We start from the raw sequence: 19,138 nt of genomic DNA, 5'->3' as shown, positions 1-19,138 counted from the left end.
ACCGAGGCCTGTGAGGGACAAGGGTTAGGTCCTTTTGACAAACACATGAGAGTAAGAATAGGGTTGGGAGATATGACCTTAACCTTATAGGTAGGTAAAAGCCCTGTACCCTGCATAAAGCCCAACAGCCAAGTGCTCCTTTCCTTGATCACAGATGCTCAAAGAAGCCTGGAGAAGCCACAAAGAGGTTTGCCATCTATCATGGCAATGTTGAGAGGTGGGCAAGTTGCTCCCAAAATATTAAAAGCACAAGTCAGAAGAGCACATAAATGTAAGATCCATAATCAAACTACCTACATGCATAAGGAAATGAAAACCCAAGAAATTAACCTAAAAATTAGTGTAGAAACACTGAAACCCCAAGAAACAGGTAGAAACAAGACTGAATAGTATTGGGAGAAGCTTTCACAGTTCTGAATCCACAGCCTGCTGCCAGTACACACCGATAACTCTTCCCCCTAACTCTGAAGTAGACAAATTCATCATTTTATAAACTACAGACTTCATGTAAAAAGAAAGTATCAACAACTCAAAATAATAAACAAATATGGCTGGGCGCGGTGGCTCACATCTGTAATTCCAGCACTTTGGGAGGCCAAGGTGGGTGTATCACGAGGTCAGGAGTTGGAGACCAGCCTGACCAACATGGAGAAATCCAGTCTCTGCTAAAAATACAAAAATTAGCCGGGCGTGGTGGCACGCACCTGTAATCCCAGTTACTCAGGAGGCTGAGGCAGGAGAATCGCTTGAACCTGGGAGGCAGAGGTTGCAGCGAGCCAAGATCACACCACTACACTCCAGCCTGGGCAACAGAGCAAGACTCCGTATCAAAAAAAAAAAGAAAAAAATGTAAAATGATTCTTAACTATTTCTTTACTATTTCTTTCACATGTATGAATCAAAAGTGAAAGCAGCATTTTCCAAAACAGCAATACTAAGTTATTACTTCTTTCATTTTATTTTTCTGCTCCACAGGAGGTTTCTATAAGTTATGACTTCTATGAATTCTTGATTTACCTTTACTTTTACTGAGGAGACCCTGTTAAGTCAACCATGCACGTTAATTGAGTTGTTTTTCTTTTTCTTGAGATGGAGTTTCACTCTTGTTGCCCAGGCTGGAATGCAATGGCATGATCTCGGCTCACAGCAACCTCTGCCTCCCCAGTTCAAGCGATTCTCTTGTCTCAGCCTCCCGAGTAGCTGGGATTACAGACATGCGCCACCACGCCCAGGTATTTTTGTATTTTTGGTAGAGACAGGGTTTCTCCATGTTGCCCAAGCTAGTCTCAAACTCCCGAACTCAGGTGATCCGCCTGCCTCAGCCTCCCAAGGTGCTGGGATTTCAGGTGTGAGCAACCGCGCCCAGCCCAATTGAGTTGTTTTTCTAAGCAGTGGTAATTCACATTCTCATCCCTTCTCTTATGACCAAGGGCATACAAAAAAATACCAGGATAAGAGAGATTGCCAGGCCTGGCGCGGTGGCTCACGCCTGTAATCCCAGCACTTTGGGAGGCCAGGGCGGGTGGATCACCTGAGGTCAGGAGTTGGAGACCAGCCTGGCCAACTCGGTGAAACCTCATCTCCACTAAAAATACAAAAACTTAGCCAGGCGTGGTGGCGGGCGCCTGTAATCCCAGCTACTTGGGAGGCTGAGGCAGGAGAATTGCTTGAACTCAGGAGGGGGAGGTTGTTGCAGTGTGCCGAGATCATGCCACTGTCCTCCAGCCTGGGCAACAAGAGTGAAACTCCATTGCAAAAAACAACAACAAAAAACACAGACAAATTGCCTATGTAACCTATATTGGTCCTCAGAGGAATTTTTTTTTTTTTTTTTTGAGACAGAGGGGCGCTGTCTCCCGGGCTGGAGTGCAATGGCGTGATCTAGGCTCACTGCAACCTCCACCTCCTGGGTTCAAGCGATTCTCCTGCCTCAGCCACCCGAGTAGGTGGGATTACAGGCGCCCAACACTACGTCCAGCTAACTTTTTGTATTTTTAGTAGAGACGGGGTTTCACCTTGTTGGCCAGGCTGGTCTTGAACTCCTGACCTCATGATTCGCCTGCCTCGGCCCCCCAAAGTGCTGGGATTACAGGTGTAAGCCACCCTGCCCGGCCCCTTCAGAGGATTTTTAATAAACTGGCCCACATTTACTCTTCAGTTAAAAGCAAGAAATCGGCCAGGAGTGGTGGCTCATGTCTGTAATCCCAGCACTTTGGGAGGCCAAGGCGGGTGGATAACCTGAGGTCGGGAGTTCAAGAACAAACAGCCTAACTAACATGGAGAAACCCCATCTTTACTAAAAATACAAAATTAGCTGGGCGTGCTGGCACATGTCTGTAATCCCAGCTACTCAGGAGGCTGAGGCAGGAGAATCGCTTGAACCCGGGAGGCAGAGGTTGCAGTGGGCCGAGTTCCCGCCACCGCACTCTAGCCTGGGCAACCAGAGTGAAACTCCGTCTCAAAAAAAAAAAAAAAAAAAAAAAAAAAAAGCAAGAAATCTACCTTCCAAGGACATTAAAAAAAAATCAGCTAATTATTTAAAATAACCTTTAAATCCCTTTAGGGACTTAAAATCCTTTTAAATATTTAAAACCCAAACTTTAGAAAGGTTTGATTCCCTCTGGGCAGCCTCCTTTGCATTCCTCCTGGCTACAGTACCTCTATTCTCTCGCAGAATATTTTCAGTTTTTATTGGTTTCCACAATTTGATAGGAAGCAATGACCAGCAACTCTATGCACTCTCCTCCACTAAGCACATGCAGGAAAAATGACGGTTTATGTAAATTCATCTTACTTAGCTCCACACCCCATGTTGGAAGTTACTTTCGAATATTCCACACCTAAAGTTCAAGTAAACTTCCTTCGAGATTAAGCTCCTGGGCCGGACTCTGTGGCTTATGCATGTAACTCCAACACTTTAGAAGGCTGAGGTGGGAGGATTCCCTGAGCCCAGGAGTTTGAGATTAAAGTTAGCTATGAAGGCGCCACTGTACTCCAGCTTGGGTAACACAGCAATACCTTATCTCTAATAATAATAATAAAAATTTTAAAATCTAAAAAACTAAAAGACTTCTCCTGAGCTGATAAATGGAGAGTTGAAAACAACAAAAAAAAAACCTCATAATTGAGCTGGAGCCACTACATGCACACATGAAAAGGACTAACAGTCATAAAACAACACACAAAATCTGGAAGCTAATTTAGTGTAAAGGAAGAGCTTGTTGTTTCTTATTATAATACATCTCCCACTAAAGGTGTCCAATAAATTCTATCACCTTAGGAGATGAGTTTTAAACTAAGTGTAATGAGAAAATAGGTAATTTTTTAAAATCTCTTTTTTCTTTTTGGCTGCGGGGTGGCCAGAGAACGAAGAAATACCAAAAGTGAAATGCTACGCTGAATTGACCAGGCTAACTGGGAACTCACTGGAAAAGTGAAAACTGGGAAGAATTAGTGATGAGCTCAAGAAGGTGCTTAGCCACTTACCCAGAGATTTATTTAATGAGAATGGATCACAGGTTTCCACAGGTCGTTCCACTGCCAGTAAGAAGACAGTCGTGAACCATGGGTCCCTTTTTTCACTAGTCAACAGTCACCCTCACCTACACGCGGAGTACATATTTGGCACTCAGCAAATCTTGATTGAATGAAAACCTACCTCACTCATATTGGCACCCAACCCCGGAGTTATGGCCCCCCAAATTACCTCCAAAACGCCTGACGACCTAACCCAAGGAGCTGAAAAAGTGGAGAGGAAAGCTCTGGGGTGGAGGGGATTCTCTGCCAAACAAGCAGGGGCCAACGGGGCCTAGACCAACTCAACTTCCCACAGAAAACTCAGGGGCCCAGGGGATTGAACCGTGGCTAATCCCTTCTACTTCCACGAAGCAGCAGCCAAGGGGCCGCAGATCCACAGCCTCCCACCCGGGGGCGCTGAGAGATCTTGGGGTATCCCCCGCAAAAGTTAGTACCTGCGAAGCTGCGGCACAAAGAGTGGTTCCGGGCTCTCATTACGGAGGCCGGGACCTGGGACCGACCAGCCGCGCCTCCTGGCTGAGGGTTCCGCGCTCCGGAGCTGCAGTGACCGTACACGTCGCCGATAGACACCTAAGGCTTCAGAAGGGTCCTGGCTCGCAGGCCCCAGACGTTTTGCTCCTAAGACTCCGCGAGTTGTCGCACCCACGTCGACTGGCGCTCTTCAGTGCTTCCCTCACTGGTTAAGCGGTCACTCCCGCCTTAAGCCCAGCAGCCGGTCGCTTCCCGGCGCCGCCATCGTTAGTGTTTGTTTTCATCCGCTTCGGTAATGGCCGGGGGGGGGGGGTGAAAGAGGGCTACGGGGGAAATCCAGATGCCTAACCTTAGTCGCACTTTCGCTACAGTACGGACGCCCTATTTATTCTTTTAGTCCTCAAAATATCCATAAAAGTTGATTTTCATTCCACGTAAGCTTTCTTCTCCAATCTTTCTAAGCTACTCAAGATAAAACAAAGACGGAAAGGCGGTGTTTGAGAGAGAGAGAGAGAGACCGTTTGGGCCGCGTGTGGAATGTGCGGAGATGAACCGCAGGTAGCCGCGGCAGCGGCAGTGAGGGCGCGGCGCGGGGCGGGCGCTGACGCGGAAGGGGCGGTGCCGCTGTTGCGCGCCGTGGCGGCCTCTGTGCAGTCGCCGGTTCCGGAGGAGGGCCCAACCCGGCTGGGTGGGTGGGAAGTGTGGCTGGTAACCTGGCAGCCGCGGAGAGGTGGGTGACGGGCCTGGGCTAACTGAGTGGCCGGCGCAATCAGACTTTGACATCCGTTTTTAGGGTGCCCTTTAAAAGTGGCAGAGTCGCTTCCCAAACCTGGTTCGGCCAGCCTCTTTTTCGCTCCCGACTTCCAATGTGTCTGGTCTTCCGTACTTCCTGGCCCTCAGGTTCACGATTTGGAGTTCTTGGAGTGAGGGAAAAGCCTTTTGTTACAGCACACAGTGTACGTCCATAAGGCTGGGTTGTGGACTTTGGTTGTTTTTTTTTTTTTTTTTTTTTTTTTTTTTTTGCCCCTTCTTTTCTTGTTAGACTGGTTTGAACACCCCAGCATCTGTCCTGTATTTGTCAGGTGAAACCAGAAGTCTTTGGATAATGAAACCCGTGACCAATTCTTACCCAAGGTGGTTATGACATATGTCAGCTGCTTCTTGGCCTATATAGTTAGAAGCCGACCTCTTTTACCTTGTGAATAATTATGTCATCACCTCCATTATTCTTTTGGTGTTCTCAATTGAAATGCCAAGCATTAAATGAGCCACAAAGATTGAATTCCCATTATCCTTGAATCAGAGCAAGCCTGTCGTGCAGCCATGAGTTAGTGGAGAAAAATCCGGAGTTGTAAGTACAGTACGTTTTGCCTCAACAAAATGGAAATTTGTAGAAAAGGAGCTGCTCCAGCCTTTGAGTCACTTTAAAGTCTTTGGTAGGTTCCTAATGTTTTTTCTTTTAACATTTACAGAGAGAAGATTATAAATGGCAGAGCCATTTAACTGTGGTTAGCTGTTGGATTCTGATACTTTCTTAAAAATACGTTCTTGCACCAACATCTTCATTGGGAACAGTTCAGAAAAAGCAAAGAGGAGAGCCAACATTCACATTTACCATGGCTATACCAATAACAGTGCTTGACTGTGACCTCTTGCTATATGGCCGTGGTCACCGGACATTGGACCGTTTTAAGCTGGATGATGTGACTGATGAATACTTGATGTCCATGTATGGGTTTCCACGGCAGTTCATTTATTACTTGGTGGAGCTCTTGGGGGCGAATCTTTCTAGGCCTACTCAGCGATCCAGGGCTATTAGCCCAGAGACACAGGTCCTTGCAGCATTGGGTTTTTATACCTCAGGTTCCTTCCAGACTCGGATGGGAGATGCCATTGGAATCAGTCAGGCGTCTATGAGTCGTTGTGTTGCCAATGTCACTGAAGCACTTGTGGAAAGGGCCTCACAGTTCATTCGCTTTCCAGCTGATGAAGCCTCCATTCAGGCTCTGAAGGATGAATTCTATGGGTTGGCAGGGATGCCAGGGGTGATGGGGGTGGTTGACTGTATCCATGTGGCCATCAAGGCACCAAATGCTGAAGACCTCTCCTATGTGAACCGAAAAGGCCTGCATTCTTTAAACTGCCTGATGGTGTGTGACATTAGAGGGACACTAATGACCGTGGAGACAAACTGGCCCGGCAGCCTACAGGACTGTGCTGTGCTGCAGCAGTCTTCCCTCAGTAGTCAGTTTGAAGCGGGTATGCACAAAGATAGCTGGCTTCTGGGTAAGTTTGCAAGTGTGAATTTTCATTTTGTTTGGAGGCATAGAAAAGTTATGTAGGCTGGGGGCGGTGGCTCACACAACCCCAGCACTTTGGGAGGCTGAGGCGGTAGATCACCTGAGGTCAAGAGCTGGAGACCAGCCTGGCCAACATGGTGAAATCTTGTCTCTACTAAAAATACAAAAATTGGGCATGGTGGCAGGCGCCTGTAGTTCCAGCTACTCGGGAGGCTGAGGCAGGACAATCGCTTGAACCCAGAAGGCAGAGGTTGCAGTGAGCCGAGATGGCGCCATTGCACCCCCACCTGGGCAACAGAGCAAAAACTCCATCTCAAAAAAAAAAAAAGAAAGAAAGAAAAGGGACCGCACGTGTAGCTCATGCCTGTTATCCTAGCACTTTGGGAGGCCGAGGCAGGCAGATCACCTGAGGTTGGGAGTTTAAGACCAGCCTGACCAACATGGAGAAACCCCGTCTATACTAAAAATACAAAATTAGCCGGGCGTAGTAGCGCATGCCTGCAATCCCAGCTACTCGGGAGGCTGAGGCAGGAGAATCGCTTGAACCCGGGAGGCGGAGGTTGCGGTTAGCCAAGATCGCGCCAGTGCACTCTAGCCTGGGCAACAAGAGCAAAACTCCATCTCAAAAAAAAGAAAAAGAAAAATTATGTAGTGGAGTAGAATGAGATATGGCAGTCTGTAGAGCTGAGTCTCAGTCCTGTCAGTTTTTTATGAGACCTCAGGTGAGAATTTTCTTAGCCTTAATTTTTAAAAAATCAACATTTAATAGACATTATTAAAACTTTAAAGCATACTGTTAGAGCCAGCACAGTGGCACGTACTAGTACAACTGGTAATTGTAATTCCAACTATCTGGGAGGCTAAGGCAAGAGGATCACTTGAGCCTGGACCTTGAGACCAGCCTGAGCAAGATAGCAAGACCCTGTCTCCAAAACAATTAAACTTTTTTTTCTTATTTTATTTTTATTTTTTTTATTTTGTGTAGAGGCAGAGTCTCACTATGTTGACCAGACTAGTCTTGAGCTCCTGGCCTCAAGCTATCCTCCCATCTGAGCCTCCCAAAGCTCTGGGAATATGGCTGTAAGCCACCACACCAACGTAAAAAAAAATTATTATTATTATTATTATTGAGACAGAGTTTTGCTCTTTTTGCCCAGGCTGGAGTGCAATGGTGCGATCTTGGCTCACTGCAACCTCCGCCTCCCAGGTTCAAGCAATTCTGCCTCAGCCTCCTGAGTAGCTGGGATTATAGGCATGCGCCACTATGCCCAGCTAATTTTGTATTTTTAGTAGAGACGGGGTTTCACCATGTTGGTCAGGCTGCTCTCGAACTCCCAACCTCAGTTGATCTGCCCATCTCAGCCTCCCAAAGTGCTGGGATTACAGGCGTGAGCCACCATGCCCAGCCTATATATATATATATATTAATAAATGTATTTTATGTTATTTCACCCAGCTCTTCTACTCCTAAGAATTTATCTTACAGGTATATATTTATACATATGCAAAACAAAATTGCATACAAGAATTTTTATTGCAAACAATAGCTGCAGCAACAAAAACAACCTTATAAAAACAATCCTGTCTGGGTGCGGTGGCTCCTGCCCGTAATCCCAGCACTTTGGGAAGTCAAGGTGAGAGGGTCACTTGAATCCAGGAGCTCGAGATTAGCCTGGGCAACAAAGCGAGACAATGTCTCTCAGAAAAGTAATAATAATATAAATAAGCAAACAAATAAATGAAACAATCCCCTGAAATAAAGCCAAAATACTGCTGGGTGCGGTAGCTCACGACTGTAATCCCAGCACTGTGTGAGGCCATGGAGGGTGTATCACCTGAGGTCAGGCGTTCAAGACCAGCCTGTCCAACATAGTGAAACCCCGCCTCTACTGAAAATACAAAAATTATCAGGGCATGGTGGTGCGCGCCTATAATCCCAGCTACTTGGGAGGCTGAGGTAGGAGAATCGATTGAACCTGGGAGGTGGAGGTTGCAGTGAGCCAAGATCGTGCCACTGCACTCCAGCCTGGGCAACAGAGGGAGACTCTGTCTCAAAAAAAAAAAAAAAAAAAAAGCCAACATACTTATCAGGACTGTCCAGAATTGTTTAAGTATTGTACATCCATACAATTGAGCCTTAATTTTTATCTGGCTCTGCTAATCATCTGTAAAATGATTAATCTGACACCAACCACAGTAATATCTATTGTGGGGATTAGGTAATATATATGAAAGTTACCTATGAAGTATTGTATAGATATTCAAATGTGGCCAGTTGTGGTGGCTCACGCCTATAATCTCAGCACTTCAGGAGACCAAGGCGGTGGATCACCTGAGGTCAAGAGTTGGAGTTCAAAACCAGCCTGGCCGACATGGTCAAACCCCTTCTCTACTAAAAACACAAAATTTAGCTGGACATGGTGGCGCATGCCTGTAGTCCCATCTACTTGGGAAGCTGAGGCAGGAGAATTGCTTGAGCCTGGGAGGCAGAGGTTGCAGTGAGCTGAGATCACACTACTGCACTCCAGCCTGGGCGATGGAGCAAGACTCCATCTCAAAAAAAAAAAAAAAAAAAAAAAAAAATCCGGGTGTGGTGGCTCATGCCTATAATCCCAGCACTTTTGGAGGCCAAGGCAAGCGGATCACCTGATGTCAGGAGTTCAAGACCAGCCTGGCCAACGTGGTGAAACCCCTTATCTACTAAAAATACAAAAAATTAGCTGGGCGTGGTGGCAGGCACCTATAATCTCAGCTACTTGGGAGGCTGAGGCAGGCGAATTGCTTGAACCCGGGAGGCAGAGGTTGCAGTGAGTCGAGATCGCACCATTGCACTCCAGCCTGGGCAACAAGAACGAAACTCTGTCTCAAAAAAAAAAAAAAAAAATTATTTTTGCATTGTTGATTGTCACTGTGATATCTGCATAAAAATGATAGTAGACAATGCATGTACACAATTCTTATTGTAGCAACTCACTTCACAGATCTGCCCGAGTTCCATTGGAAAGACTGGCTTACTGTTATGAGTAGAACAAGAATCTATTCAACATTCAGCAGTGTGAACCAAGGTGACTGTACAGCTCTGAGGAGTGCAGTTAGCAGTGATAAAACCCTTGAATCCAGCAGCTTAGTTTTTTGTTTTTTGGGTTTGTTTTTTTTTTAATGTGCTACTTTTATATGAGCATCAGGACAAGGGTTATCTTGTATACAACATATAAGAGATGAAAGCTACGTTAAGGATTAGAAGACTTCTCTAACTTTTGTTTTTTTGAGATTGGGTCTTGTTATGTTGCCCAGGCTGGTCTCAAGCAATCCTCTGGCCTCAGCCCAGGCTCATAATACCAGTAGCTGGTATCACAGACATACACCACCACACCCAGCTAATCACTACCACTAATCATATCTGCACTGCACATGCTCATTGCACAGTGCTTGTTGTGAGTTGATGCTCAGGAAATACTTCTCTTTAACATGTTTACTAGCACTTTAAAGAGAAACCTCCTGTGTTCCAAGTGGGCAAAGACTACACTGATGGGTGTAGAGCTGCCAGGGTACCACGTGTAATATCCTGGAGCTTACTGAGTTTCTTGATTGTTGCTTCTCCGTACTATTTTTAGTGCACCACCTTCTTGCTACTCTACTGGACCTTTATCTTAAACACACCTTTTGCCTATTTTGAGCTTTCAAATTTTATTTTCATACAACTCACACCAAGAAGTGTGGGAAAGTAGATTTTGCAATTGTTTCATCTGGCCATTTCTTCTGTAGCTGTGGGAGTACTTGGGTTCCAAGCTGATTTCTTATGAATCTCTTCACTTTGGTTCCCCCCACCTTTTTTTTTTTTTTGTCACGGGGTCTCACTCTGTCACCCAGGCTGGAGTGCAGTGGTGTGATTATGACTCACTGCAGCCTTGACCTCCTGGGCTCAATTGATCCTCCTACCTCAGCCTACCGAGTAGCTGGGACTACAGATGCACACCACCATGCTGGGCTAATTTTTGTATTTTTGGTAAAGCTGGCGTTTTGTCATGCTGCCCAGGCTGGTCTCGAACCCCTAGGCTCAAGCAGTTAGCCCACCTTGTACTCCCAAATTGCTGGAATTACAGGCATGAGCTACTGCACCCTGCCCGGTTCCCTAACTATTAAGCCAGCTAAAACTTAGCCCTTAAAATTTGACAGGCAATATTGTAAGCATTTTGCATCAATTATATCACTTAATGCTTATAAAAACTCTTTAAGAGTTAAATAATAGCCGGGCACGGTGGCTCACGCCTGTAATCCCAGCACTTTGGGAGGCCGAGGTGGGCGGATCACGAGGTCAGGAGATCCAGACCATCCTGGCTAACACAGTGAAACCTCATCTCTACTAAAAATACAAAACATAAGCCAGGCGTGGTGGCAGGCGCCTGTAGTCCCAGCTACTCCGGAGGCTGAGGCAGGAGAATGGCGTGAACCCGGGAGGTGGAGTTTGCAGTGAGCCGAGATCACGCCACTGCACTCCAGCCTGGGAGACAGAGCAAGACTCTGTCTCAAAAAAAAAAAAAAAAAAAAAGAGTTAAATAATAATAATATTAACATTTTTACAAAAGAGGAGACTGAGGCACATAACATTTAAGTCGCTTGTGTTTCAGTGTTTAAATCAGATCATAGGACGAATTACTTTATTTGGCAAATATTCCTGGTAAGGACTTCTTTTTCTTCCCACCTTGGGATCCAAGATTCAGTTGGAATTATGGCTTTAAAGTAGTTTTTTACATTGTTTATAGTAAATAGTTGAAAATTAGTAAAAATTCTGATAAATAACTTTTCTGATGCCCCTCTCTACAGAAAGAGTAGGAGTGGGAAAAATGGATACTGTAGCAACATTTAACGAATGTTTATTTATTTATTTATTTTTTGAGACGGAGTCTCGCTCTGTCGCCCAGCTGGAGTGCAGTGGTGCGATCTCGGCTCACTGCAAGCTCCGCCTCCCGGGTTCACAGCACTCTCCTGCCTCAGCCTCCGGAGTAGCTGGGACTATAGGCGCCCGCCACCACGCCCAGCTAATTTTTTGTATTTTTAGTAGAGATGGGGTTTCACTGTGTTAGCCAGGATGGCCTCCATCTCCTGACCTCTTGATCCGCCCGCCTTGGCCTCCCAAAGTGCTGGGATTACAGGCGTGAGCCCACCGCGCCTGGCCTTTTTATTATTTTATATATATATATATATATTATATACATACACACACATGTATTTTTGAAACAGGGTCTCACTCTGTCACCCACGCTGGAGTGCACTGGCATGATCACAACTTATTGAAGCCTTGACCTCCTGGGCTCAATTGATCCTCCCACATCAGTCTACCGAGTAGTTGGGACCATAGGTGCCTGCCATCATGCCTGGCTAATTTTGTTTTAAATTTTTTGGCTGGGCGCTGTGACTCATGCCTGTAATCCCAGCACTTTGGGAGGCCAAAGCGGGTGGATCACCTGAGGTCAGGAGTTTGAGACCAGCCTGGCCAACATGGTGAAACCTCATCTCTACAAAAAATACAAAAATTACCCAGGCATGGTGGTGGGCACTTGTAGTCCTAGCTATTCAGGAGGCTGAGGCAGGAGAATCACTTGAACCTGGGAGGTGGAGGTTGCAGTGAGCCGAGATTGCACCATTGCACTCTAGCCTGGGCAACAGAGTGAGACTTACTCTCAAAAAAAAAAAAAAAAAAAATTCTTTTATTTATTTATTTTTTTTTTTGTAGAGTCTGGGTCTCACTGTGTTGCCCAGGCAGGTCTCAAACTCCTGAGCTCAGCCAGTCCACCTCAGCCTCCCAAAGTGCTGGGATTACAGGTATGAGCCACTGTGCCTGGTCAGCAAGTGTTTATTAAAGCTAGTTTTGGTGTGAGGCATGAAGAAATCTTGGAATATACCTGTGGAAGTTGAAGATGTGGAAACTGATTTCCTCAGGCCGGGCGTGGTGGCTCACGTCTGTGGATCACTTGAGGTCAGGACTTCCAGACCAGCTGGTCAACATGCTGAAACCCTGTCTCTACTAAATATACAAAAATTACCCAGGCACGGTGGCGTGAGCCTGTGATTCCAGCTACTCAGGAGGCTGATGCAGGAGAATTGCTTGATCCTGGTAGGTGGAGGTTGCAGTGGGCGGAGATCCTGCCACTGCATTCCAACCTGGATGACAGAGTGAGACTCCATCTTAAAAAAAAAAAGAAAAGTGGCTCACGCCTGTGATCCCAGCACTTTGGGAGGCCAAGGCAGGTGGATAACGAGGTCAGAGGTTCAAGACAAGCCTGGCCAAGATGGTGAAACCCCATCTCTACTAAAAATACAAAAATTAGCCTGGTGCTAATTTTAGCCAGGTGCTAAATCCCAGCACTTTTGGAGGCCAAGGCGGGCACATCACCTGAGGTCAGAAGTTTGAGACCAGCCTGGCCAAGATGGTGAAATCCCATCTCTTCTAAAAATATAAAAATTAGCCAGGTGTGGTGGCAGGCGCCTGTAATCCCAGCTACTCGGGAGGCTGAGGCAGGAGAATCGCTTGAACCTGGGAGGCGGAGGTTGCAGTGAGCTGAGATCACGCCATTGCACTCTAGCCTGGGGGACAAGAGCGAGACTTTGCCTCAAAAAAAAAAAAAGAAAAAAAAAATTTGTCAGGTGCGGTGGCTCAAGCCTGTAATCCCAGCACTTTGGGAGGCCGAGGCAGGCAGATCACCTGAGGTCAGGAGTTCAAGATTAGCCTGGCCAACATGGTGAAACCCTGTCTCTACTAAAAATACAAAATTAGCCGGGCCTGGTGGCGCATGCCTGTAATCCCAGCTACTCGAGTGGCTGAGGCAGGAGAATTGCTTGAACCCAGGAGGCGGAGGTTGTAGTGAACCAAGATTCTGTGACTGTACTCCAGACTGGGCTGGAGACTGTATCTCCAAAAAAAAAAAAAAATTTTTTTTTTAATTGCCAGGCATGGTGGCGTGTGCCTGTAGTCCCAGCTTACTCAGGAGGCTGACCTGGGAGGATCACTTGAGCCTAGGAGTTCAAGGCTGCAGTGAGCTACGATCGTGCTATTGCACTCCAGTCTGGGCAACAGAGAGATACCCTAAATCATTCATATGAATAGACAGATTTGGAAAACACTAGTCTCTAAAGGTTGTGTGGACAGTGGGAGTAATTATGGGAAGATTGGCAGGATTATAAGGAATGACAAGATGTTAAAAGAGAGAATAGATGGCTAATTGTATTTTTGTTGTTGTTGTTGTTGTTGTTGTTTGAGATGGAGTTTCGCTCTTGTTGCCCAGGCTGTGGTGCAATGGGGCGATCTCAGCTCACTGCAACCTGTGCCTCCTGGGTTCAAGCAATTCTCCTGCCTCAGCCTCCTGAGTAGCTGAAATTACAGGTGCCTGCCACCATGCCCAGCTAATTTTTGTATTTTAGTAGAGACGGGGCTTCACCACGTTGGTCAGGCTGGTCTCAAACTCCCAACCTCAGGTGATCCACCCACTGTGGCCTCCCAAAGTGCTGGGATTACAGGCATGAAGCCCTGCACCTGGCCGCCTAATTGTATTTTAAGAAACAACCCTTAGGTTTGAGGAACAGTTCTAGATTTGTCAAACCTAGAACTAGCTGTGAGCCTCTGGCCTTTTTTTTTTTTTTTTTTGCATTATTTTTCCTACGATATTATCCATTCCTGTCCTCATTCTCATCTGTCCCTTCAGAATGCATTATCTAAATTCCCCTCTAAATATACCTATTCCTGCAAACAATTCAGCCTCAGTTCTTATTTCTTTAGCTCTTGGCCTAGTCCTATTAAGCAGCTTTGGGTAAGATCTGCCAAAATGTCTTGTGGATGACTGATCATATAAGCAATTGTAATCTGTTTAGCAATTCTGATCCTAATCCCCTCTTGAGTGTCTGTTTTCCAGTAGTGCTTGGTTTATAACCATTTAGTGAGGGTAGAGCAATTTTACAAAAGGTCTCCTTTAGCTTTTCCTGTATATCTCCTCCATTTAAGACTCATACCATTTCTTAGAGAAACTTTAACAAGGATCATTTAGCATCTCCAGTTTTCAGTATTCATCTTACTTATTTTATTCTCTTTTACAGCATTATATTCTTGTTTTATTATGCTCTTGTTTTAGTATTCTGAGTCTGAAATTAGCATTTAGTGACTAGGTCTTTCCTTTGCCTAACATATCAAAGGATGACGAACATATACTTTGATCTTCTCATTTGAAAAATAAGTTCAATATCTAACCTAGCAGAGTTGGGATTGCATAATAAGAGATAATCTTTTTTTTTTTTTTTTTTTTGAGACAGTCTCACCCTGTCGCCTTGGCTGGAGTGCAGTGGCGTGATCTCGGCTCACTGCATCCTCTACCTCCCAGGTTCAAACAGTTTTCTACCTCAGCCTCCTGTAGCTGGGGCTACAGGCACGCACCACCATGCCTGGCTAATTTTTGTATTTTTAGTAGAGATGGGGTTTTGCTGTGTTGACCAGACTGGTCTCAAACTCCTGACCTCAGGTGATCCGCCTGCCTTAGCCTCTCAAAGTGCTGGGATTACAGGTGTGAGCCACCGTGCCCAGCCTGATAATCTTTAAAAAGTACCAGCTGGGTGTGGTGGTCACACCTGTAATGTCAGCACCTTGGGAGGTGAAGCAGGTGGGAGTTCCTCCTGAAGCGGGAGGAATGCTTGAGGCCAGGAGTTCAGGGTCAGCCTAGCAACATAACAAGACCCTGTCTCTACAAAAAGTTTAAAAATTAGCTGGGTGTTGTGGCATGTGCCTGTAATCCCAGCTACTCAGGAGGGTGTGTTGGGAGGATTGCTTGAGCTCAGGAGTTTGAGGTTGCAGTGAGCTATGATCATACCACTGCACTTCAGCGTGGGCAACAGAGTGAGACTCTGTCTCAAAAAACAAAACTAAAGTAAAGTAAATAAATATTGAAAATAAAGTTAGGCCAGGCATGGTGGCTCACGATTGTAATCCCAGCACTTTGGGAGGCCAAAGGGAGCGGATCATCTGAGGTTGGGAGTTTGAGACCAGCCTGGCCAACATGGTGAAATCCCCATCTCTACTAAAAATACCAAAATTAGCCAGTCATGGTGGTACATGCCTGTAGTCCCAGCTACTCAGGAGACTGAGGTAGGAGAATAGCTTCAACCCGGGAGGCAGAGGTTGCAGTGAGCCGAGATTGCACCACTGCACTCCAGCCTGGGCGACAGAGTGAGGCTCCGTCTCAAAAAAAAAAAAAGTACCAGCACAGTACATGCTACATAGTAGGTGTTCAATGAGTCATGGATATTATTTTTCATTATTATTTATAGCATCAGTTTCTTAAATTCATTATTTAGTAGGGTTATGTTCAATAAAAAGAAAAGGTTATGGCCGGGCGTGGTGTCTCACGCCTGTAATCCCAGCACTTTGGGAAGCCGAAGGGGGTGGATCGCATGAGGTCAGGAGTTTGAGACCAGCCTGGCCAGCATGGTGAAACCCCATCTCTACTAAAAATACAAAAATTAGCTGGGCGTGGTGGCAGGTGCCTGTAATCCCAGCTACTTGGTAAGGTGAGGCAGGAGAATTGCTTGAAACTGTGAGGCGGAGGTTGCAGTGAGCCGAGATCATGCTACTGCACTTCAGCCTGGGCAGAGTGAGACTCTCAAAAAAACAAACAAACAAACAAAAAACTGGGTGCGGTGGCTCATGCCTGGAATCCCAGCCCTTTGGGAGGCCGAGGTGGGTGGATCATGAAGTCAGGAGATCGTGACCAGCCTGGCCAACATGGTGAAACCCCGTCTCTACTAAAAACACAAAAAATTAGCCGGGCGTGGTGGCGTGTGCCTGTAGTCCCAGCTACTCAGGAGGCTGAGACAGGAGAATTGCTTAAACCTGGGAGGTGGAGGTTGCAGTGAGCTGAGATTGCACCACTGCACTCCAGCCTGGGCAACAGAGCAGACTGTCAAAAAAAAAAAAAAAAAAAAAAAGGTTATACCTGGGAGGGGAAAAGTCAGCTAAATAGTAAATTTGAAAATTTTGTGAGACTTCTTAGATATTTACAGTTAATCCAGAAATGTAAGCTCCTGCTCGGCGCTGTAATTCCAGGGCTTTGGGAGGTCGAGGTGGGTGGATTGTTTGGGCACGGGACTTAAGAGACCAGCCTGGGTAACATAGTGAAACCTCCTCTCTAGAAAACATTAAAAATTTTGCCAGGCATGGTGGCGCATGCCTGTGGTCCCAGATATTCGGGAGGCTGAGGTAGGAGGCTGGAAGGTTGAGGCTGCAGCGAACTGTTATCACTCCACTGCATTCCAGCCTGGGTGACAGAGCAAAACTCTGTCTCCAAAAAAATAAATGTAAGCGCCTAAAAGAAATGAGCCCTGTATGTTGGGAACAGTGCCTACCACTGTCTGAACAGTCCAGAACTATTTACTGAAATTGATGGTGGGGCAGGAACACAGTGGTATGCAAACTGGTACTCCAGGGCCTATTTGTCTCTCAAATTTCTAAGAGGTTTTGCCTCTGTGCGGGACATCTCATCTGCCAGATGTAGTGACAGTGAGTCAGGACAAGAAAGCATTATACTAACATTGTGCTGTTGGATCAGGGCATTGCACCCCAGTTTTTTGTTGTTGTTGTTTTGTTAGCACTTCCTGGGATCATTTGATAAAGAAGTCACTTAAGGAGAATGCCTTGTGTGTATTTTTTTAATTGACTTCTGAATTCATTTCCTTATCACCAACTATTACTATTTGCATGATTATATGTATGCTCTCTTTGTTCATGTGAAATTCTTCCTCTTACAAAGGCATGGTTCTAGTAATTGTGATATATAGGAAGGCAGAACACCTGAGTTCTGATCTCTGCCATAAGTGCTCGGACTTTTATCTTATTCTTCTTAGCACTGGGAGAATAAATTACTGTAGTCCATGAAATCCCCTGAAATCCCTTGGTAGTGCTTTTAGACTTGAAATTTTGAGGGTAAAGTTAAGACTTCCCCTCACAAGTGTTTTGGGATCTCTTGGCAGAATTCTCTTTTTTCCTGTTTCATTCTTGCTCTGTAGAGATTTTGAAGATTGGCATGCTATTTGATTTTATTTGGTTTTATTAAGCCTTTTATTAATAACAATATCTCTGAATTAGGAAAATGCAGGAATTTTATTTTATTTGAGATGGAGTTTCGCGCTTGTCGCCCAGGTTGGAGTGCAATGGCGTGATCTTGGCTCACTGCAATCTCCGCCTCCCACGTTGGTCAGGCTGGTCTTGAACTCCGGGCCTCAGTTGGTGATCCACCCGCCTCAGCCTCCCAAAGTGCTGTCATTACAGGCGTGAGTCACCATGCCCGGCCAAATGCAGGAATTTTATTTCCTCCAGTGCCTTCACCTCCTTCCTACATTCTTTCATATTTGGCTTCCTTTAGGTGCCAGCGTTTTTATGTGTCGATTTTTACCAACGACATTCTCAGCCAGAACTCGTGTCTTTCTGCTCCTGGCATTGGCATGATTTCTTTTTACCATAGCATTTTCCGCTTGGTTTTTCTAGTGTGCTTTGGCGCCAGAGGCTGTTGTATTTTCTTGTCCATTGTCAGTATATGTTTTCTGAATTTCACTTCCTGTTTCTATTCCACTTATAGTCATTTATGATTTATTTGGGCCTTCCCCACAGGTGACAGTTCCTTCTTTCTTCGAACCTGGCTCATGACCCCACTTCACATTCCTGAAACTCCAGCAGAATATCGCTATAACATGGCCCATTCTGCAACTCACAGTGTGATTGAGAAGACTTTCCGAACCCTCTGCTCCCGATTCCGCTGCCTGGATGGATCCAAGGGGGCACTGCAGTACTCACCAGAGAAATCCAGCCATATCATCTTGGCCTGTTGTGTCCTCCACAACATCTCCCTGGAGCATGGGATGGATGTTTGGTCCTCTCCAATGACAGGACCCATGGAACAGCCCCCGGAAGAGGAGTATGAGCACATGGAGTCCCTGGACTTAGAGGCTGACCGTATTCGTCAGGAGCTAATGCTCACTCATTTTAGCTAATGTAGAAGGTGGAGAGGAGGGATACTTCCCAGGAGTTGTGACAGACTTTCCTCCTCATCACCTTTTACACAGTTCCATCATCTAGCATGACTGAGTATACAGATACTTGTCATAAACTGACATTTAATATGTGTGTTTTGGTAAGGTTGGGGCTATGCCAGAATATCTTGATTCATTTGCATATGCATTAATTAAACTGAAACCAAGACAGCGGCTCCCTACTATCCAGTGAACTCTAGGTTGAGTACCACTAATTTGAAAGCTCAGTGGTTGCAAACATTTATGACTGTGCCTACAAAGTCATAGTAAAGGTCAGGAGTTCAAGACAAGACCAGCCTGGCCAACATGGTGAAACCCCGTCTCTACTAAAAATACAAAAATTAGCGGCCGGGTGCGGTGGCTCACGCCTGTAATCCCAGCACTTTGGGAGGCCGAGGCGGGCGGATCACCTGAGTTCAGGAGTTAAGACCAGCCTGGGCAACATGGCAAGACCCTGTCTCTACTAAAAATACAAAAAAATTAGCTGGGCGTGGTGACAGGTGCCTGTAATCCCAGCTACTCGGTAGGCTGAGGCAGGAGAATCACTTGAACCAGGGAGGCGGAGGTTGTGGTGAGCCGAGATCGTGCCATTGCACTCCAGCCTAGGCAAGAAGAGCGAAACTCCGTCTCAAAAAAAAAAAAAAAAAAAAATTAGCCGGGCGTGGTGGTACATGCCTGAAATCCCAGCTACTCGGGATGCTGAGGCAGGAGAATCGCTTGAACCTGGGAGTCGGAGGTTGCACTGAGCCAAGATCATGCCACTGCAC

At 46.0% G+C, this 19,138-nt stretch overlaps 2 protein-coding genes across 64 annotated transcripts in view, besides 2 other annotated features; one reads left to right on the top strand and one right to left on the bottom strand.

Moving 5' to 3' along the window:
- ATG13 (autophagy related 13) overlaps positions 1-4,309 on the bottom strand; it is a 56,966-nt gene extending 52,657 nt beyond the window's left edge. For 26 of the 54 annotated variants that reach the window (NR_144423.2, NR_144422.2, NR_144424.2 and 23 more), the window contains 1 exon segment: positions 3,972-4,309. The gene's annotated coding sequence lies outside the window, so the exon portion shown is untranslated. 54 annotated transcript variants of the gene reach the window in all.
- On the top strand, positions 3,967-19,001 carry HARBI1 (harbinger transposase derived 1). Of its 10 annotated transcripts, none has more exons than XM_011520028.4 (4): positions 3,967-4,300; positions 5,481-6,294; positions 9,290-9,373; positions 17,953-19,001. In XM_011520028.4, the coding sequence occupies exons 2-4, from the start codon at positions 5,625-5,627 to the stop codon at positions 18,330-18,332; spliced, it is 1,134 nt and encodes a 377-aa protein (XP_011518330.1). In that variant the 5' UTR covers positions 3,967-4,300; positions 5,481-5,624; the 3' UTR covers positions 18,333-19,001. The 10 variants fall into 10 exon arrangements, with proteins under 10 accessions (XP_011518330.1, XP_024304221.1, XP_011518327.1 ...); XM_011520025.2 differs by lacking the exon at positions 3,967-4,300 and adding an exon at positions 4,635-4,738; XM_011520029.3 differs by lacking the exon at positions 3,967-4,300 and adding an exon at positions 4,635-4,964.
- Positions 4,049-4,343: a silencer, noted in NCBI's record as "tiled region #32; K562 Repressive non-DNase unmatched - State 1:Tss". NCBI's record gives its function as "represses a minimal TATA promoter and a strong SV40 promoter by Sharpr-MPRA in K562 cells {active_cell/tissue: K562}" and the evidence as "EXISTENCE:reporter gene assay evidence [ECO:0000049][PMID:27701403]".
- Positions 4,323-4,502: an enhancer, noted in NCBI's record as "active region_4683". NCBI's record gives its function as "activates an Ori minimal core promoter by ATAC-STARR-seq in GM12878 lymphoblastoid cells {active_cell/tissue: GM12878}" and the evidence as "EXISTENCE:reporter gene assay evidence [ECO:0000049][PMID:35858748]".
- Positions 19,002-19,138: the final 137 nt, after the last annotated feature.

Source organism: Homo sapiens, chromosome 11, assembly GCF_000001405.40.
Source record: "Homo sapiens chromosome 11, GRCh38.p14 Primary Assembly".
Taxonomy (NCBI): Eukaryota; Metazoa; Chordata; class Mammalia; order Primates; family Hominidae; genus Homo; species Homo sapiens.
Note: the sequence above shows the minus strand (reverse complement) of the source record. Positions and strands in the feature narration are given on the sequence as shown.